Raw genomic sequence first — 22,808 nt, forward strand, 5'->3', positions numbered from 1 at the left:
CAGTTGTCAAGAAAACTGCCTCATTCATCACTCCACTCTCTATGCCCTCACCCTGCATTATTTTCCTCCATAGCACTTAGTACCATCACATGCCATAAATTCACTTATTATGCTCCACCTTTTCTAGCAGAATGCCAGCTCTTAAGAGCCAGGGATTTGTCTTGTCTTGTCCACCCATGTGTCCTAAGTGCCTGAAATAATATTTATTATAACATTTAGTAGGCTTGCAGTACATTTTTGTTGAATAAAATAATCTCTGTAGCTATATCTATATAATCACATTTGATAAACATGAATTTATCCTTATTTTGAAGGTGTGGGTTTATACAGAAAAATAAAATTCTACATACAATCTACTAGTGTAGCTATGAAAATTTTAATTTCAAAATAAAAGTAGAGAAATAAAAAAGTGTATACTGACAGCTAGATACATCTTAACCTTAATATAATGAAATGCCTCTGCTCTTGGAAACCAAAAACCGCATGCTTTGAATGCATCACTAATGTGAATAAATCTTTCTGCCCCAAACTTAGGCATCTTTGCTATTAACAAAAATAATTCATTTGCCAAGTAAAATTTAATGCTATATTCTGTACTTTTGATACTTTTTTTCAGAAAATAAAGCTAAGTTAAATATACCCTCCAGCATTTTATATTCAAAAGTTCATGCTGCTATTTACATTTTATGGATTTATTTATTTATTTATTTATTTGAGATGGAGTTTCACTCTTGTCCAGGCTGGAGTGTGATGGTATGATCTCGGCTCACTGCAACCTCTACCTCCCAGGTTCAAGCAATTCTCCTGCCTCAGCCACCTGAGTGGCTGGGAATACAGGCATGCGCCACCACACCTGGCTAATTTTTTTGTATTTTTTTTTGTAAAGACAGGGTTTCACCTTGTTGGCCAGGCTGGTCTCCGAACTCCTGACGTCAGTGATTCACCCATCTTGACCTCCCAAAGTGCTGGGATTATAGGAGTGAGCCACTGCACCTGGCCTATGGATTTATTTATATGCATCATCCTTTAAAAATATTTACGCAGCTTCCTGCCTGAAATTTCAATTTCTCTAAATCCTGTTCACAGTACCCACACTCAAATCATTTATTATAGCTTAACCAACTCTACCAGGTAGAATTGTTCTCTCTGCTTGCAGAACCTCCAGCATGCTTTCAACGAGTGTAAATACAATTAGTATAAAATCATTTGGCACCTAAAGCTAAAACAACTGAAATAATTAAGAAAAACGAAGAGCACATGTAAGAAGCAGGAGGATTAACTGCCCTGGGAACCAGCCAAGGGAATCCCCAGCGCCCCCCATGTGCCTTAAGCTCTCAGTGCTTCCGTAGCTTCCTTAAAGTAAGACAAGTAACCAACTATGGGTTTATAAATTTGATAATCAGAGGTCTTTAGAATTCTTTATTATGAGAAATATGGATTCAGCTGCAGGCTTTGGACAGGATGGCAGCTCCAGCTCTGAGGCAAGAGCTGAGAATGTGCTGGCTTGACACATGGATGCTCAAGCCATCCATAAAATATAAAAAGTCAAATTTTAAAAAAGGTTTACTGCAAACTAAAAATAAGCACAAATTTTGATAAAATATTTCACGAAGCTACATATCACAAGTTTACAAGTTATTAGAAGGATTCCTTTACTGCATGCTGGGAAGATAATTCTCTTACATGATCCCTAGCCAAACCAAACTAACTAAGGCTGTAATTTTGATAATGCCCTGGGGCCCGGAACAACCCTGGGATACTTTCCTGTACAAAGTGACAATGCTGATTCATTCCCTCAGGAATAACACAGCCTCATCACACCTCATCGTCAAAAAAACTTTAGCAATCCAAAGCTACTCTGGCAACTGTGAACTTCCCTATGTCGCTGTGGTCACACAGAAAGGAGATCATTGCAATATTACTAAATAACAAAGAAAGAATTTGCAGCGGCAGGATTAGTTATCCTTCCATCCCAGGCAGGTCACCAGCAAAATGACTTTAAACAGACATCCTAAGGAGATAAAATTATCTTCTTCAGTTTCCTCCACTATTTCATTGGTTCTCAAACTTTAGAGTATCAGATTCATCTGTAGACTGAGGCCTTGTTAGCTTAAATGGCAGACTGCACAGGGACCCTGATGCCAGGGTCCTCCAGGTGCCAGTCAAAGCCCAAGTGCCCTTTAAAGCAGGGGTCCCCGATCCATCCATCGGCTGTGGACCAATATCGGTCCGTGGCCTGTCAGGAACTGGGCTGCACAGCAGGAGGTGAGCAGCAGGCAAGCCCGCATCAGTACTGCCTGAGCTCCGCCTCCTGTCAGATCAGCAGGGACATTAGATTCTCCTAGGAGCGTGAACCCTACTGTGAACTGCTCATGCAAGGGATCTAGGTTGTGCGTTCCTTATGAGAATCTAACTAATGCCTGATGATCTGAGATGGAACAGTTTCATCCCAAAACCATTCTCTCCCTGCGCCCCCAGTTTATGGAAAAATTGTCTTCCATAAAACCTGGTGCCTGGTGCCAAAAACATTGGAGACTGCTGCTTTAAGGGCTCAAAAGAATGAAGAATAGAGCAGGTCCTCATTACCCTTAAAAAATGTATCAGAGTACTTGGAAGACAGTGACCTTTCTATCAGTTGTTTTAATTTGTCTTCTAAATCTACTCTTAATTCTAAGGGAACATATAATATGCTATATAACAGAATGCAAAGAAAACATACCAGTTTGAATGTTTGGTGTTTAAGATAGATATATATATATACCTTTAACACAAAAATTTTATGTAAAAATACATTTTATGTATTTACTAAAAATTGATAAAATTCAGAATATCTCAAGACATTCATAAGCATCAAAATAAATCAGGCCAGGCTCATGTAAAGTGCCAGCATGCACTGTATTGCATGACCTCCCTGCTCTTCTTAGAAAGGACATAATGAACCCTCCCCACTGATACCTCCCCACTGATACCATGTAAATGCAGGGAGCTGCATCCAATGTATATTAATATTTGTATGTATGCTTTGATGAGTTCTAAAAGTACCTCATTATAGGTGCTCATAGGTAGGTAGAACATGAAATGTTATCCTGTCTAATCTGGATAAATAAGTTCCTAAACTAAACTTGTAAAAAAATACTTGACTAACCACACATCTCAGGAAATCCCTGACTTTTCCAGTCCTCTACATGGATGAGTCATTAGAGTATATTTTGCTATAGGATAGTCCAGAGGCCATTATAAGATATAAAAATAGGTAAATAATCCTAAAGCTCTGAATTAAATCTCTCAAAGCAAGGTTACCTCTACATTCCTTCTTTAAATCTGGCTACAGCAAAGTACAGGAAATGAATGGTGAATTCATAAATAATTCTATAGCTAGATTGCTATAGGCACGAGAAGACTATTATTCATAGCCTCAAGCAAAAATGAAAGAAAGGTGGATTCTTAAGCATACAACATTTTCAACAACTTTGCATATTTTTTATATATAAAAGTGAATTTATGATTTTATAATCTACCATAATTTATAATCTACCATATGGGAGGGAATTAAGTCATAGTTCACTTAAATCACTTACCAATTAACTTCAAGTACCAAATAGAATTTCTATAAACCTAAATCTCTTTACCAAGGGATAGCTCAAGCATTACCTAAACATTCCCTACACAGGCTTTCTGTGCGGCAATGTCAGAGATGCTCCATATTAAACAGTCTCTACTATTCCTTATATTTCCAAATTCAGTGATGACTTCTTATAAGGTGAGATGTTAACAGTGAGAAAAAACCAAATGGTTGAAAAAATATTAAGAAGTTCCTGTTACCCTTATTAGAAGATTTTAAAAAGGAAAGAACAGGGGTTGGGCATGGAGGAGGAAGGGAAGCTATGGCCTCTGAAGAGGATTAAATGATGACCTACATAAAGTGAGGAACACTTACCATTAATTCTCATAACTTTTTTTTTAATTTAAAACTTTAGGGCCAATACAACTTTCTAAATCTTTCTGCACACTTTCATTTTTAATTACCCTTGTCTAGTAACACAGCAATATATTACTTTTAAAGAGAACTGGAACACATTTTTCAAATATCACATGCCTCAAGGGATATAATGATAATTTTCAGTTAAATTACATTAACATGAACTATCACTAAAACACATATATACACATCTCAAAAGAACATTATGGCTCTGGAAGACTCTGAGTTTATAAAGACCCTTAGTCATTCTAAAATGTACAAGGGAAAAATGTGTTCTGAAAAAATAAAGTTTACTTACTTGTATTGATCAGAAATTGATTGGACACACCAGGATGATCTACATCATGTATTGCACTGGCAAAAATTGCTGCAAGAATCTCCAAATCTGTAAACACAGCCTGGAAAATCAGACAATATAGATAATATTACTATTCTACAATGATATGAATTAAAAGTATAAACAAATAAGAAATCTCTAGAATTTAAATGGAAAACAAAATGAAGCTTCAAAATGTGTTACAATGTGTCAAGGGAGAGTCTTAGATACTTGTGAACTTTTAAAGTATAATCTTGGAAGAAAATATTTTATCTAATTTTATTACATCTCATGATCAAATGTTTTCCATTCACTGTATTTTTTAAAATATTATTTTAAAACTCTGAAATTATTTTAAAAGAAAATAATAGTTTATTTTCTAAATATTTAAGATGTCTAAGAATATTCTGAAAATGTACATAAAATTAGTAAGACATTAGCAATTATTTTCTTTCATCGAAACCAGGGTTTCTCAACTTCAGCACTATTGACATTTTGGGCCCAATAACTCTTTGCGTGGGAGGCTGTCCTGTGCATTGTAGGATTTTTAGCAGAATTCCTGGCCTCTACCAACAAGATGCCAGTATCATGTACAACTAAAAATGTGATAGTTGTGACAACCAAAAATGCCTCCAGACATTGCCAAATGTCCCTGGTGGTGGCAGGAGGGAAAGAAAGGGGAAGAGAAACCATCTCCAGTTGAGAATCACTCACCCATATGATGAGGTATTAACATAATTTTATAATGAAAACAAACTGAATTATAAAATATATTTCTTAAGAAAATCAAATTGCTTTAGTAAACAACTAATGAAATAACTTCTTAGGATTTAGAAAAATTAAAGTATGTCCTTCTAATATATTCTATGAAAAAATATCAATATATTGCTTATGTTTTATAAAACGTTCTTTGGCCTATAAATAAAAGCCGTCAGACTAGATTTCAAGAAAACAAATGAACAAAAAGTGAGTAAGCCAGATGTGCTTTATGAAATGTTCAGTGGATCATTTCAAAGAAGCAATATCATAAACAGATCAATCACTAAATCTGTGACCAACTTTCATAAGCAAAATCCATCAAAGACTTGATTGTCTATTAACTATAGCATTTTCCCCCATAAGTCAATAAGTTATACTTCCAATGAATCCAATTATCTTCTCCATTGAAAACCCTTCAGATAAAAGTTTAATAGACCTTTATGAGTGGCAAGTTAGTGTTCTTGAAATTTCAGAAACAGATTTACCTCCAAAGCAGGTGTAGATAATAGCACATGAGTAGACTGGACAACATCTGCAGCATGGATATTGTTGTGATAGGCCACATCAGCATGGTAATGGTCTTCGAGAGTCATAAGATATGTAATTAAAGTATCTACTGGAATTTTAAATGTTTTTAATAAATCCCGTTCCTGTAGGAAAAAAAATCATCTTAACATTTTTGTCTTTATGTGAAAAATTTCTCCATAGAGTATGTTTAAAAAAAAAAATCACACACCAGTGTTGCCAGTGGATAACCTGGAAATGGCAACTGCACTCTCACATGTCTAGTGAGGAAAATGGGAACCTCTGAGAAGATCCAGGGACTCTGGGACAAAACCAGAGTTGGGTTGTCCTGCTGGAACCCAAGAATACTACGCCCTAGCTGTATGGTGTCAGGAATGAGGTGCCAACTCTAAAAGTTTCTATGTCCCATTATCATGGAGGCAGCTCCAGTCAAGCACTATTAACTCAACCCCTGCATCACACCAACTAAAAATCAACGTCCTCTCTAGGGCTGAAGTTTCCCATTTCGGTCCCGAGATATCTACAGCAGCCTCAACTTCTCATTTAAATCCCACCCTAAGCTGGAGCAAAGGGTCAATAAGAGAGAGAAATGGATATGAAGAAAGAAGCAGGACACAAGAAAGTGACTGAAAAAACTATATTCTAAGGTTAGTAGCCAGCAGGGGCTTTATTCATTTTTTTTAAGTTAGTACTCCATTCTCTATGCAGTCAGGTTCAGATGACTAAGATGATGTCTAAATTATTATTTTAATAAATTGCTTCAATTTGGCTATATCACATCTTTTTCTTAAATGCAAAAAAAATAACAAAATTGATGTTATTTGTGGTTTATCCACACTCCACCTTTCTGTATCTTTACTTGTCCCTTGGCAAAGGAGCAAATAAGGATAAAAGTATAAAAATAAGCAAAAGGTGGGGAATATTAAAAAAGACAAAATGTATGCATAAGCTACAGACTGGACATTAAGTTCCTAAATAAAATAAATGTAATAGAACTCAACCACCTTACCTGAAAAATGGTGTGCATGATAACAGTCAAGGGCCGGTTACCAGACAACTCTGCTATTCTGAAAACATGAAGACCCCATTTGTTCACATCTTCTAGTTCCTGGAGTGAAAAAAAAAAAAAGATACTAAAATATTAGAAAGTGGAGTAAAATATGACTCAATGAACACAATCATTTAAAAATTACAGACCTTAGGTGGCCGGGCATAGAGGCTCAAGCCTGTAATCCCAGAACTTTGGGAGGCTGAGGCGGGCAGATCACTTGAGGTCAGGAGTTTGAAACCAGCCTGCCCAACATGGTGAAACCCCATCTCCACTAAAAATAAAAAAAATTAGTCAGGTGTGGTGGTGTGTGCCTGTAATCCCAGCTACTTGGGAGGCTGAGGCAGGAGAATTGCTTGAACCCAGGAGGCAGAGGTTGTAGTGAGCCAAGATCGCGCCACTGCATTCTGCAATCCAACCTGGGTGACAGGGCGAGACTATGTCTCAAAACAAACAAAACAAAACAAAACAAAACAGACTTCAGTGTAAAGATTGTTAGATTGTTTTAAACAATGATTCATTTTAAATGTTAACAGACACACCATGTAAGCATAGGCAAACTTTAGGCACATTTACTTAAATGTACTGAAAATTGAACAGTATGGCTTAACCTTGTGACTTTGACATTACAACACATTTATGTACTTTTTAAGTATCAATCACAAAGCACTTCTTTAATGGATAAAATCTATTCACAAAACCTTAACTGTTTTCCTAAAACCCAGAAGACATGACAGATTTCTAACTCTTTAAGGCCAAACAATGAAATGAAGATGCAAATAATCACCCCCCAAACCCCTAAAACATACCAAACCACCTGTCTAAGGCACTTTAAAAGGAGCTTTATAAAATGCCTTCCCATCTTCAAAAAAAGAAAAAAAAAAAACCCCAATTAATAAACTTTTCTATCCATTTAAAAGACTAGAAGTGAAAATTCATGAAAGGGCATCATTTAATATTTATGATCCTGATCTTTGAAATCATCATACCTTGGCAAGGACATCTTCTTGTTCAGTTTTAACTCCAAACCTTGGGATACTTGAATTAGTCAGACTAGAGCTGTGCATCAATTTCTTGACTCCACTGATCTGAGACATTGGTCTTTTCTTTTTCTCCTTTTCCTTCTGAGTTGGAGAAGGAATTTCCACTTCATGTTGCTTATCTTGAGAAATTTAGAAAATGTTCTATATTTATTATTAATTCTATCTGTTTTATATCATATGCATAATTGGAAGGATTATAATTGATCATTATATATTCCAGGAAATGTTTCCAACTAAAAAGTTTCCTTTTAGAGAGTTCAGTATTTACATTTGAATTGGACTTAATTTGATGTCTTCAAACACAAAATTAAGCAAATAAGTTCCATTACAAAATAATAATATCAAATGTATTCCATGGTTACCTCTTTGATACAATGTCCTAATAAAAAATGCTGCAAGACTTAGCATGACAGCAGACTCAGAATACACAACAGGTGGTTATTTCCACTGTTCAATTCCATTCCTTTGTGAAACTGACTTAATGAACTGAATATTGTTCTTGCCAACTAAGGACTACAGTTTCAATACATACTTTGAAATGGTAGAAACTTTATACGCAAATGTCATGAAAACAGCAGTATATAAAACTAACAGCTAACTGAAATGGGTAACACTGTGGGAGCTGAAACAGCAGGTTTTGGATGACTTAGATTAATTCTGCTACTTTTTATTTCTGTATGATAGTGAGATAAGGGTTAAATCCCCAGGTTTTATGGGAGCATAGAGAATCATAAATATTACCTGATAAGTGAATACGTACATAAGCTAATTGTGTTCTATAGTAAAAGACCTAAGATATCTTCTTACTTTCATCCACGATTTCAAGGCAGTGATGAGCAACTCTAACTCATCCTTATATATAGAACATATTCTAAGTGTTTAATAAATGTTAACTATATATAACAGCAATTTTGTTTTGAAAGTAAGTCCAGGATACATTCAAATTACTGACCTTTATTTACTGCATTTTCTTTCTGTGGATGAGGTACAAGAGTTGTCCCAGGACACCAAACTCAGCTATTATTAGCAAACTTTTATTTAGCAATTGTATTTTATCTGCCCACCAGTTTACTAGGCTTGATGTACACAAGACGGTAAATTCATCGAGGGCAGGAATCATTTCTAATTTATCATTAAACACCTATTGCCCAACAATGGCTGGCATTTAATAAGAATTTGTTGAAGATATGAATAGATCTCTCTATAAAATATATTTTACAGTTTGGTACTATGAAAAAATGGCAATATATAATCTTAATTCAAGAATTCCTAAAGTCCTAAATAAAACTAAGAAAATGTACCTTGTCACCTGCAACTCTAAAACTCAGAGGCGGATAGTGTCGAATTATTAATATGACGAATGAAAACAAATAGAACTTCTAACACTTGTTTGGTTTCCAAAATGAGTTGGCACCCCAATCCTCCTACAAAAACAAACAAGCAAACAACTGAAGAAAAAAATTTAATTGCATGTTGTTATTCTCACCTAAGAATGTGTTTGATATAAACTCTGACACTTGATTTCCAGACCGACTCATTTCAGAGAGATGGGTGAGCTCCCGATTAAGCATCCTTTTAAACTGAAAAACAGAAAAGTAAAATGAAATAATAGAAGAGGAAAATTTAAGTGAAATATATATGCATACTCTGAGATACAGGAAGATATGCCCAAAGAATTTTTAAGTTGTCCTGACAATTTAGAACAGTGCCTTCCAGCAGAACTTTCTTCAATGAGGGGAAAACACCATAATCGGTGCTGCCAATTATAGCAGTCACTAGCCACAGGTGGTTACTAAGCATTTGAAATGTGGCTAGTGCAAATGAGAAACCAAATTTTGAATTTTATTTAATTTTAACTACTTTTAATTTAAATAATCACATGTGGCTCATGGCCACCAGACTGACCAGCACAAATTTAGACTCCCAAGGGCTGAAGGGAAAATCAGGAGAAATAAGCAAAGAAAAGGGAATTAAAAATTAAGATGTATTATTAGTTATTTAGAGAAGAGAGAAACTAATTTATAGCACATAAAAGTGTTGCCATACAATAAAACATGGAATGCTTTCTTCAATTAATTTATCATTAGCAGAAATGAATATATATACTGATCAAGGGCTCAAAATTTAGTCTTTTACTCCAAAGCAAAACTTAATAGACTTGAGTACTCTTCCAGGACTATGGAGAAGTAAAATATTTAAATAAATACTGTATAATGTTTCCTTTTAAAAGTTGTTTTTCAAGTAAGAGTATAACACTTATTGTTTCTCAACATCCACAAAATTTACCATTTTCCCAAGTCACTAAATAGGAAACAGGTCAATTTTCAACAATCTACTTCACAGTTTTTATTACTGATGCCATAGTGCCTATTTCATTGAAAGAAACACTGGAATTAACCTACCAACACCACATGGCATTACCAGTATCCAAATCTCCCAAAGATTTTACACTTCTCCCACCCCCATCAGCTGTTTCTTAAGCATTAAGCATTTCAGAGTCCTTTGACTCTGAAAACAACCCGACGAGGCCTTTTAATAAGCCTTTAATATTTGCCTTAATATACAGAAACAATGTATTTTTTCTACACATAGAGTAACTGCTATTAGATACTTGACAAAAAAAAGTCAGATGCATTTACTCTAATCATCAGATTAGCCTTTAAAATTTGAAATTTCACCATAAATTCTCATTTAAGTATGAAGGTAAGTGTTGAATGTATATTTTAGTGATGTTTGAAATATAATTCTTAGTATTTAATTATTTAGAATTATTTTGCTTCTCTGCATAATTCATACCAAGATGGCCTAACTCTATACCGTTTGCTAAATAACTTCCAAAGTCAATCTTATAGACCATCTAGATTAAGTTTTAACTCCGCATTTAACTGTTATCAAAACAAACAAAAAACCCTCAACCATTTCAATGGACTGTTGGATGAGAGAAATGTGTATTCGCATGCCAGCGTAGTCAAAAACAAAGAACTCGTCATTTACATTGGGTGTATCTCCTAATGCTTTCCCTCCCCCCTCCCCCCACCCCACAACAAGCCCCAATGTGTGATGTTCCCCTTCCTGTGCCCAAGTGTTCTCATTGTTCAATTCCCACATGTACCCTAGAACTTAAAGTATAATAAAAATAAAATAAATGCTGGGGAAAAAACAAACAAACAAACAAAAAAACAAAGAACTGGCATGACCAGTACAAATTCTGGTTGTTAAATTACTGGTCTAGAAAGCTTAGTCTCAAACTCAGGAACACTAAATTCACTTCTTTGTTCATATGTTTTTATAACTCCTTTCTAATTATAAAATGTACATGTGCTATAGAAAATGTAGAAAGCTATACCAAAAAAAAGAAAATAATGTAAATCCCCACTGCTGGAAGATAACCACAGATAATTTGTTAAATTTCCTTTTATGCCTTTTTTCTACCCTTGTATGTGAATACATATTTTTAAAACTGGCATCAGGTGGTATACAGAACATAGGTTACTGCTTGTGTTCACTCAGCATTATATCTTATAACCTACTGAAAAAAATAAACTTTGGGCCTTCTAAGAATATTTGTAGACATTTATAATAGAGTTCAAAATTTTTTCTGTCCCTCTTTACAAAGTTATATTTTCTTGAGTAAATTATGGGCTATCATATAATTTAATGAGCTAATATAGAAGTGTCTTCTATTTAGCCTGGCACATAGTAGATGCTCAATATTATTTGAGTTCTTTCTCCCAGCTCACTTTCTGGCACTTGGTCCATAACTTTTGGGCCTTTTAAAGTAATAGCTGATTTTTATCATTGCAGGTCAGACAGATGAAGGATTTGACTGTAGTTATAACCATAAAAATAGTTACTTAAATAGCTAGCTCCTCTTTCTCAAATCCCATAAAGAATTTGGAATAGCATTAGTATGGGAAACCATAGCTATGTCTCAAAAGCACAGCTAAAATGTCATGCATACACAGGTTTAAAAAACTCTTTGCTTAAGACTTGGAGCCAACCCAAATGTCCATCAGTGATAGACTGGATTAAGAAAATGTGGCACATATATACCATGGAATACTACGTAGCCATAAAAAGGGATGAGTTCACGTCCTTTGCAGGGACATGGATGAAGCTGGAAACCATCATTCTCAGCAAACTAACACAGCAACAGAAAACCAAACACCACATGTTCTCACTCATAAGTGGGAGTTGAACAATGAGAACACATGGACACAGGGAGGGGAACATCACACACCAGGGCCTATGAGCGGGTAGGGAGGGGAAGGACAGCATTAGGCAAAATACCTAATGTAGATGACAGGTTGATGGGTGCAGCAAACGACCATGGCATGTATATACCTATGTAACAAACCTGCACGTTCTGCACATGTATACCAGAACTTAAAGTATAATAATTAAAAAAAATTTGCTTTACAGATAAATTCACACTTGGAAAAATATACTCATTAGGCAAAGCATATTCCAAAGAAAAGAGTCTGCTAAACATTTTAAACACACATTCAATGAAATATCTCTTTGACCTAAAATTGTTCATGTTATGAGCTAAAAGTTGCTATTAAGAACTACCTGGTCATGACAAAGTCTTTTTTTTCATAAAAGATAGGAGATGAGGCAAAGCTTTCACCATTGCTAGAATCTCAGCAGTCTATACAGGAACTGCTGCCCTCCTTGCACTTCTCTCAATAAAGCAAAACAAGGGAAGCCTTCTGGGAGTGATTGATAAAGATAGATAGAGACCCAGTTATCACAGGTTTATCTTCTAACTTGTACACAAACTAGTATAAGGATTATGTTGCCCAAAGAGAACATGTGGATGCTACCTGCAGATATGCTACATATATTATTGGATTTTTCTAAAAGAATATAAAGAACGAAGTATAATTTTCCTGGCAGTTTGCTTAAACAATTCACCAAAATAGCCAGTTAGTACAGATAACTGAAGAAAAAAGCCAGTGAAAGGAATCTAAATATTGTACAGACTAGATAAGTGACATCCTGCATGTTCATCTTTCTGGTCATATACATTATTCCCAGAGTACTTTCCAGCCTTTGTTTAAAACACAAAAACATGGATTGGAGAAATCCTCCATCACATGCCCACCTCCCTACCAAGGCTTATAAGGGACTCCAAGGAAGTCAACATTTCATTTTAACATAATTATAAAAGACAATATTTGAAGCAATTACTTCTCTACTCTAGGAAGACGGTCTAAGGAATTTCCTAAAGATAATTCTGAAGCGTACATTAAGTTATAACACAAGGGTATTTTCTAAAAGGAATTAACATTGTTTTCCTTTTTTGCTATCCATATAAAAGTTTCAGTCCAGCAAAGCTAAATGAATAACCACAAAAATTACCATAAGTGCTTTCTCAACTGGTAGTTGATCTCACAAATTGGTTTTGGAGTGCATAGCTAGATGTACTAAAAAAATGCACTAGATCATTCAACAAACATTTAAAAATGTGATACTTCTCTCATCTAAAAATAATTATATAATATTTACTAAGATAACTACATAAAATTACCAAAGGGGGAAGGACTGATTTAAAGCTAATACAATGTATTCTTCTGGGAAATCCCATCATATTTCTCAATTAATATATTTAGAAGGGACAAAACATTAAACTGCTGTTTGAAACGAACCGATTGTAAAATGCAGAACCATTTAAGCATTTAGTTTATTTTTTTAAGTGACCTCTAAATATTTTCCATTGATGAATTTCTAATTGTTTTTGGCCTAAGTAGTCTGAAAACAATACACAGATTTAGGGTTGCAACTAAAAAAACGGGAGGATTTCTAAGTGAATGCTTTTGAATCCTTTGTTCTCATTATACATCAGAATGTCTGTGTACAGCAGTTAAGGCATAAAGGAAAGTAAAAATGCAGTTGAATCTCAATACTGTATTTTGCTTTTCAGAACTGCAATTCTTCAATTTACATTAGGCATTTAAGATTGTTCAGGAAGCAAACTAAAATAATAAAACAAAATGTCCTTAAATGTAATCTCCTTTACTTCTACATCACGCCAGTGTGCTACTGGGTATATTATATATCCTCCCAATATATATTTAAGGAGGTGGTATGGGTCCAATAGTAAGAAAATTTTCTTATTTTTTCCTGACAATATTCTGCTAAAAATCATTTGAATATGCTGCACTGTGATGCATTACAAGTTTGGTAGATATCAGTATTCAAAGTTATTTAAACAAATACTCCATTGATGGTATAAAAATAAAACCTTCAAAATGCATAAGACCAAATATATCTATATTTGCTATTTTTACATGTTTTTAAAGGTACAGTATTAAACATAAAGCTGTCCAGGAAAAATTTTCCTCAAAAAGAAACGTACTAAAATTCTATATGTAGATTCTTGGCAATATTGTTCATAATCATAGTACAAATGGTTCATAATCACAGTACAAATGTGAAGCCCTTCAAAAATAACATCAGTTGTGAGCTGGCTAAAAGCTAGGAGCTGAATTCTGGCGGATAATGAGGGCTTCTTATATTTACTCTCTATACTTTTCTGCATTTCTGAAGATTTTTAGCCAAGAAATGGCTAACAAAATTCAAATAATGGAAGTCTATATATTTTAAAAACATTTTTAAAAATCTGAATCATCCACAGATTTAAAGGGAGGTAAGGAATCATGACTACTTGGACAACCAAGACTGAAATAAGTTTTCTAATTTTTTTAGAATTCAAGTAAATCTCTAAAACAAAGGGGAACTTGTCCTTCAAAAAGAAAGAAACAAAGCAAACGACAAACACTCCAATCTGAAAAATCCTCAGAGTAACAGAAAATGAATCTTTTAAAATGTGTTGTGATTGGCTCCCAGGTTCAAGCGAGTGGCTCAAATACCAAAAATCTGTGAAGTGATGTTTCATTTAGGACTGAATAAGGTTTTTCTACCTCCTTCTATTGTGGAGACAGGATCACAATGCTAATGTTACCACAGGGCATGGAAAAAGCCTGCCAAGCATGGACACAATCTTATTGAATTGTTTATTAATTCATTTCTTGAGATTCACAAAACAGTGTAATAAAAACTTTGTTCAGTTTTGCAAGTATAATAGACAATCAAGTTTTCACTTTAGTATCACTTACATAGTTAAGTAATGTCAATTTTTAATGTCACCTAGGGCTTTATAGCTAAAGGTGAAAAAAACGTATTCCTCGTCAGGTTAAAGTAGTATAGATTTTTAGAAACAGCCACAAATTAATTTTATAAACTTTATGTGCAACATACTAACTGGAATCCATAAATCAGTATAAGTAATTTGGCCCAATAATTTATTTGCAATGAATGTATTTAATTACCATATATTTTTCAAGCACAATTCAAACATATACCACATGACAAACAGAAGAACTACTGCGTATCTAAAAAAGCTATTTTAACACTCAAACTACAACTGATGAAAGTTATACAATCTTATCTTGACCACTATTAACACGTATTTCTTCCTAGTTCATGTGTAAGGAAAGAATACATAACTGATAGTTTGAACAAATTACAGTAGAGTCTAAGCTTTCTAAATAATTTTGTAATCAGAGTAAGGAGTTTTCAAAAGCTAAGTAAGTCTTACCTTTATGTAGCCCCAAGACACTGACAGTAAATAGTTTGCTTCAGGCATTTTTGATTGATTATATGTATATATATATATATGTATATATATAGTAAGCTCTAAAATGTATTTAGCTTCAAAATCTCGACACTTTAACAACCTCCACAAGCCACGCAGAGTATGAGTTTTTAAAGATTTTTGGTAATTAAGTATACATAAGAAAGCCTCGCATTAAATCCCATCCAGCCGTCTTCCCATCGAATACATGCCATTTGTAAGACTCCAGAATGGCACAAAATTCAGCAACTATTCTGAATAAAGAAAATCCACGTGATAAAGGAATATCTAAAGATCTAAGGGTCTGCATCTTTCTCTCCCGAGCTCCAGGGCTTAATGAATAATGTATGTCAAGATGCTTAGTTGCAAGAAAGGCTAGTCCTGTCAAAAGCTACCAAATAAGGAACTGCAGGGAAGCCGGGAAGAGTGACAAGAAGCCCCTCCCATAAAACCCCAACTCTGCACCAATTGCATTCCAGCTCTTAGCCTATAAGGCGAGGGGGTGTGGCCTCGGTGCAGGCTGCTTTGGGATTGGTTGGCAAGGGCCAGCCTCTGGGGAGGCTTTCTCCTCACCCGACAAACGCCATTGAATAATGGTATCCCTGCAGCTCTGAGGCCACCCTGAGAAAAGATGAACGGGGCTTCCCTCTTGCAGTGATGAATAATGACCATAAAACTCCTCAAAATTCGTAGTTCATTCTTAAGAATTGCCCATCCTTTTGGAGGGCATTTTCTATGAATTTTAATGTCCTCTGGCTTCCCTTCCTTCCAAATAAAAACTGCTCCAAAAATGGCAATCGAGCATTTTAATTGCTTCCCTCTCTCAAATCCAAAACAAGTGGCTCCCTGGTGATGTAGAAATGACTGTAGTTCTCCCCTCATCCAACATAAAAGCATAGGGATTAAACAATACGACTAATGTCCAGAATTCACAGATGGCACAGATGGCAATGACACATTCCCTCACCTGTGTGCCATGGCTGCTCTCAGCTCCTTTTGTTTCTATTGTTATGTATGACAGAGTTCTAAAACCTTCAAAATCTAGGGGTGGGACCACTTGCAATTCTGGGGGGAGGGAAATGTGAAAGCTAGGGCACTGTGTATGCATAAGGAATGCAGTGTTTTGTATATAGAACTCAGGATCTGTATTTTGATCAGAAGAGAATATTTTATTTATTTATTTAGAGACAGAGTCTCGCTGTCGCCCAGGCTAGAGTGCAGTAGTGCGATCTTGGCTCACTGTCACCTCTGCCTCCCGGGTTCAAGCGATTCTCCTGCCTCAGCCTCCCGAGAAGCTGGGATTACAGGCGCCCACCACCACGCCTGGCTAATTTTTGTATTTTTAGCAGAGACGGGATTTCACCATGTTGGCCAGGCTGGTCTCAAACTCCTGACCTCAGGGGATCTGCCCACCTCAGCCTCCCAAAGTGCTGGGATTACAGGTGTGAGCCAACGTGCCCAGCCAGAACAGAACATTTTAATAACTGTACACAAAGTTAAGAAAGGAATGAGTGGCTCTTAGGAATCCAGAATTGAGCTCAAGAGTAATCAGACATTTTACGAGGAGGGTTAAATGAGAAATCAAAGTTCTTTCTAGAAAAACAGCATTTTCTATTTGGTTTGGTGTAGTATTACCCTGTAACTTTAATACTAAAGAGGTCTTGTGGGTGAGAAACAAGGAAAAACTAGGTTTTAGTTGATTTTAGCATATAATTCTGTGCATTTTACCTCCTCTCCATCTCAAAGCCTGTGCTTACTACTCTGTGCTTTAACTTGCTGGTATGGCTACTCTGCAGTCTTCCTGACATTTAACTATTTCCACATGTGGCATGTCTGTCTTAGAGAGCATGCTCTCTGATAAGCACTCCTGTAACACTGTGTCTCTCTGAGTTTCTATTGGCCTTTAGCTGCTACAGTCCTCTGCTTTTGTTAACATCTGTTGTATTCATTTCCATCACTCTTACTCCTCTACAAAAGGAAGAAATTAAAGCTCCAACATTCCACTAAAGCTACCCCCAGAGGAATACTAAGGTCCTCCTTTTCTCTGGTCTCCCTACTTCTCTGAAGTGTTCCACATGTTTGATCATTCCTACTACTCTCCCTCAACTCCCAGGATCCTGAACTTCTTTAATTTTCCCTAGGCCCACAATCTTCAATGACCACTTCTAACTTGAACTTCAGTGCCATATTTCTGAATACAAGATTCTCCTCTCGAATGCCCTGCTAGTCACGACAAACTTTTTCAAAACTGTGAGACATTTTTCTATTTAAAGTAGTTCTTAGTATAATTACTTCCATTTCAGTCAGTGAGCCTATATTTCTTCCAGTATCTCAGATGGAATCTATGACTCTTTCCTACCATTCAACAGGTGTTTCATGTGCGTCAGACACTGTCAGGTGTTTAATATAAACCATCTAGCTGAATCCTTGAGTAACCCGGCATGTTCCCCTATACGGCATCACCTTCCCTCCTTCATTCAACTTTGTTAGCAAGCCCTATCTTTTATCCAGAGCTGTTTCTTTCAGTTTATTCCTTACCATTACCCCTCCCGTAATCTGAATCCAAATATTTAAAAGACTGAGAGAAATAGAAAGTAACTTTAATATCACCCCCTCTAACTCCCTCATTTCCACATAAAGTTGAGACCTAGAGAGAAAAAATGATTTTCCCAGGTTCACTCTGGTACTGAGAACAAGAATTGCAAGTTTAAATCTTTTGTGCACAATCACTGACAAATAATCTTTTTAGTGTGTCAGCTTCCTCATCTGTAAAGTGGATTACTGTGGCAGCTAGTCTCCAAAGATACTCTTAATGAGCCACACTGTCCTACACTGAATCTGAGTTGGCTTGTGTAACCAACAAGTGATGGTGCATGACTGCTGAGGCTAAGTCATAAGAAATCTTGCAGCTCTCATCCTGCTTTCTTTGAATGTGCTATTGGGACCCCTAAGCCATTAGGTTGAAAAAAAAAAAGGTCTGACTACTCTGAGAGGCTATGCTACAAGAAGTCCATGTTAACTTCACAGACAGTGAAGAGAGAAAGCGCAAGAGAGCACTTGCACAAGAAAGAGCACACATGCCTGGCCAGTCTTCAGCAATGCCAGCCACCCCAGCCCAGAGCCAGACCTGAGGGGCAAGAAGCCATCCTAGCCATCCAGCCAGTTCAGCTTTCAGATAGCTACCCACTGGGCTGCAACCATATGAGGAATGCCAAGCAAGAATGTCTAGCCAAGACCAGTTAACCCACAAAGCCATGAAAACTAATAAAAATACATTCATATTTCAAAGTATTAGGTTTGAAGTGATTTCTTACATAGCAATAAATAACCAGAACAGATACATATGAGGATTAAATGAGACCATATATGCAAAGCACTTAAAACAACAAATGGTACAAAGTTGAAGATAAGTAGGTATCAGACAGTAAAGATGACAGTGACAATGATCATTATGATAATCATTCTATTATACTAATATTTAAAAAAATTCTCTGGTTTGTCATTTGTTTTTAAAATATATATGTTATATTTCCTTTCAATTGCATCACAGCACTCCATGTCTCAGGGCCAAAATGCTGTAATTGCTTCTTAGCTCATCTTCTTGCCCCTGGCTTTTCCCCTTCTAGTCTCATATTGACCTCTACTGCCAGATCAATTTTCCTCAAATCCAGCCGCAGCCTGTTACTTCAAAGCTAGTAATGCCTGCTTCATCACATCCCTCTGTAAATTCCAGACTGCCATATCTGACCTTAATCCCCAACGCCAAGCCTATTTTCAGCTGCTCTATTACATTTGCTCTGTTCCTGAAAGACTAGTACTCCTCCACCTTCACCATACAGCTGACAATCCCATCTCTGTCTTACCAAATTCTCGGCCTAAAATACCCTCCTTCTTCTACTCTGCCAACCTCAAACTGGTTTTCTCAGTCAGATTTAAATCATTCAAAGTACATCTTAGGACCAAATATTCCAGCCTTTTTCCAAATTCTAACGATTCTACATCTGCCCCTTCATTCAATATTTATTAAGCTCCTACTCTATGTCAGGCACTGCCTGAGAAAGAGAAACAAAGCTTTCTCACCTGCAGCTTATATTCCAAAACTAAGTTAATAAATACATAATACGTCATGGGGTGATAAGCACAATGGAGAGAAAGAAGGGATAAGGATTACGGATAGAGGTTGCTATAAGGTGATCATGGAAAGCCCCTCTGATGAGATGACGTATACCAGGAGATCTGAAGAAAGGAAACAAGCCATGTGGATTGCGGGGTGAGAGGTAGGGTAGAGAAGGGAAAACCAAGTGAGGAATGGCAAAAGCAAAGGCCTCGAGGCAAAACATACTTGGTGAGGCTCCCTGAAGAACAGGTGGAAGTGTCATACCACTTGTCATTTAAATGCAAATTACACTCTGCAGTCAGGCTCACTGCCTTCCCCCTCCTTTAAAAAAAAAAAAATCCATCCATCCATCAATTTTATTCTTTGACAAACTTAAGACTCAGTTACTTTTTACTTTTTATAACAAGTATTCATCCTGAAATGAAATTCCTAAATACACTTCCTTCATAATACTGTACTGAATACATATAGGCTAAATACTCCCTACATAGATTTAAAAAAAAAATCAGTATAATGGCTTATCAGTGAAATAAAGGAGAAATGAGTAATTTCTATCAAATACTACAAAATATAAATACTTGTACACAACTACATTTTAAAAAGTAGTCAAAAACTACTATAACTGATTAGCTGTGTGACCTTGGGGAAGCTATTTAAATTTCCCATACTTCAGTTTACTCACATGGAAAATGAGAATAATAGTTTCTACCTTACAGGGTTGTTGTGAGGATTAAATTAGTGCATATACATAAGGCTCTTAGAACAGTAAGTGCTATCTAAGGGTTTGCTATGATTTCTCTTATGGGGAGAATTACCACAAAAGTAACAGTAGCATGAAAATGAATACAGGGGTGTTATGTTAGAAAAATTTTCCTTTTTCCTGATATGATGAATGATTCTTTGAAAGGTTTCAAATGTAACAAAGTGCCATCTTCACAATATACACTATTGCTGCATTACTAGAAAATTTGGTGTGGATTAAAACCATGTAAAAATATTTAATACTTATACGTAAAAAGTAGTTGGGTTCTAGGCTCAGAGAATTATAAATGCATTTTGTTTTTTCACCTATGTGAATAGCTGCTGGGACTTTTTGGAAGTTGTGTGGGACACACAGCAAACCTCCCTGGTGAAAGGCTGTCCCATGTATCCCAGGACATCTAGCCTCCCTGGCCTCTGCCCACCAAGCACCAGGAGTACTCCCCAGTCACTGTCCCCTGAAATTTCCTGAATGTTCCCCAGTGTTAAGAATCACTGTTCTATTTTTTTCAACTGTCTTCAACTTTGACTCCTCATCCAGGGTGGAGGATCTTTGAGGCCAGAAAAGTATCTTATTATGTCCCTGTATTTCTCAAGGTAGTGTACTATTGCCACAAAAAGATTGTTGGCTGATGCAGATGCAAAACATCAATATTTTTATACTGATTATAGGTGACAGGAAAGGACAAGGGTTTTCACCCTCAGCAAAATCATCAAAAACATTTAAAACAGATTACATATAGTAGATAATACTCCTTGTCTTAAAACATTATGCAGAAACACACATACAGTTTCCCTTCCCTCTAAAATCTGCAGCCTCTTCTCCCTGCTGAATGTGAGTGATGGTCCCTTCATTCAACAGACTTCTATTTGGCAACTATTATGTGCCAGGCATTCTAATAGGTGCTGGATGTGAAAGGATTTAACTTATTCAAATAAGTCCCTAATTTGCTGCAATAAGGGAGATTATTTAATCATATTGAGTAAAAAGTACCAAGGAAAGTTTCCATATTTCTAGGGAATAAGAAATCTTTTCAAAAATCTCTGAGCCAAATTAAAATTCATTTCATTTTCCCTAATCTCCATTTCTAGGAGACTAGAATCTCCTTCCTATTGCCACGGTAGCTGCTATCTGCAGAGAGAATCTAGATAATTTAGAAGAGAAATTTGAATAGAGCCAGAGAGATACAATTCTTATAGTCAGACTTGGCTTCACCAAATTTAATGAAGAAACTTTAATAAGTTACAACATTTACTAGGCACCTACTATGCACAAAGAACTTTACATACCTCATTTCTAATCTTGGCAACATTCTGATAAGATAAATATTATCCCTATTTTAACATGAAAAGATGGACCTTCTTACATATTCAATAACTTGCTCCATAGGTGACAGGATTGAAATGCAAACCCAGTCCTTGCTCTTAATGGTGTATGACAGCTCATCATATAATTAGGCTGATGCAAACTCTATGATAAACAGTATGAATCTAGGAGTGGATTTGTTTATCCTCAATCTTTTTGCTAACTTTACAGTGCCTTGAATTAAAGAATCATGGTTACTATCACCATGGTCAGATCTCTGGACAGGGTGAGGAAGCAGGTGCCCACAGGCAGACAGCCCTGCCATATAGTGAGACACGCTTATGTTTGGGAGCGCTATGTGAACAACACACAGCTGCCCTCATATGCAGATGTAATGATGACGACACATTCAGACAAGGAACTGAGGTCCAGAAAAGTTCTGACAACACAACTTGAGGGACAGCGTTACAGCTAGAGCTCAGGTTTCTTATCTGTAATCCACTGCTCTCAAATGCCCAAATGATTTTATATACATATATGCAAGTGTGTTTGTTGAAATAGAAAAAATAGTTTCTTGGCCTGGTGAAGTGCCTCATGCCTGTAATCCCAACATTTTGGGAGGCCAATGCGGGAGGATTGCTTGAGGCCAGGAGGTCGAGACCAGCCTGGGCAACATAGAGAAACCACCGTCTCTACAAAAAATTTAAAAATTAGCCAGGTGTGGTGGCATGTGCTTGTAGTTCCAGATACTACTGAGGTGGGAGGTGGGAGGTGCTGAGGTGGGAGGATGGCTTGAGGCCAGGAGTTTAAGGCTGCAGTGAGCTATGATTGCACCACTGTACTCCAGCCTGGATGACAGAGCAAGACCTTGTCTCAAAAAAGAAAAAAAAAATTCCCATAATGTTCAGTTAGTTCTCTTTTTCAGACTTTTCCTAGAAATACCCCTCAGAATTTCTAGAGGCCACTTCCCTGCTATTCCTTGTTTTCTCAGTCCTTACCAGATACCCAAGCAATTAACAATCTTTTTGAACTATTTCAGTACATTTCAGGATATTTGAAATTCTGCTGATGGAGCTGAACTGCTGATACATTAACACATGCTGTCATTATTGACTTTGTAACAGAGGTCAAGAGAGAAAAGATGCATTTTTGAATAGGGAAAAACAAAACTAAATTATGGGGAAACTAAGGCTCAGAGAGGTCAAGTTGTCTTGCTCAAGGTCACAAAGCCAGTAGTAAGTAACAGGGCCAGGATTTGAACCCAGACTGTCTGGTTTCAGAGTACTCTAAATTGCCAAAAAAAGAAAACTATTTCAG

At 36.3% G+C, this 22,808-nt stretch overlaps 1 protein-coding gene across 28 annotated transcripts in view, besides 1 other annotated feature; it reads right to left on the reverse strand.

Annotated features, from left to right (window-relative positions):
• Positions 1-22,808, reverse strand: part of PDE4D (phosphodiesterase 4D) — a 1,553,091-nt gene that overhangs the window by 15,178 nt on the left and 1,515,105 nt on the right. For 27 of the 28 annotated variants that reach the window (XM_024446112.2, XM_024446110.2, NM_001364599.1 and 24 more), the window contains 5 exons: positions 9,157-9,250; positions 7,617-7,789; positions 6,589-6,687; positions 5,540-5,704; positions 4,278-4,377 (listed from right to left, as the gene is read on the reverse strand). In XM_024446112.2, the coding sequence (XP_024301880.1) occupies positions 4,278-4,377; positions 5,540-5,704; positions 6,589-6,687; positions 7,617-7,789; positions 9,157-9,250 (631 nt within the window). Of the gene's footprint in view, positions 1-4,277; positions 4,378-5,539; positions 5,705-6,588; positions 6,688-7,616; positions 7,790-9,156; positions 9,251-15,273; positions 15,684-22,808 lie in introns of those variants that run through there. The other variant, NM_001197223.2, reaches the window with a different exon arrangement.
• Positions 18,697-19,592: an enhancer, noted in NCBI's record as "H3K27ac-H3K4me1 hESC enhancer chr5:58298739-58299634 (GRCh37/hg19 assembly coordinates)". NCBI's record gives its function as "activates a minimal SCP1, AML or CMV promoter by ChIP-STARR-seq in naive H9 embryonic stem cells {active_cell/tissue: H9 hESC(naive)}" and the evidence as "EXISTENCE:reporter gene assay evidence [ECO:0000049][PMID:30033119]".

The sequence above is a fragment of the Homo sapiens genome, chromosome 5, assembly GCF_000001405.40.
Source record: "Homo sapiens chromosome 5, GRCh38.p14 Primary Assembly".
In the NCBI taxonomy this organism is placed as follows: Eukaryota; Metazoa; Chordata; class Mammalia; order Primates; family Hominidae; genus Homo; species Homo sapiens.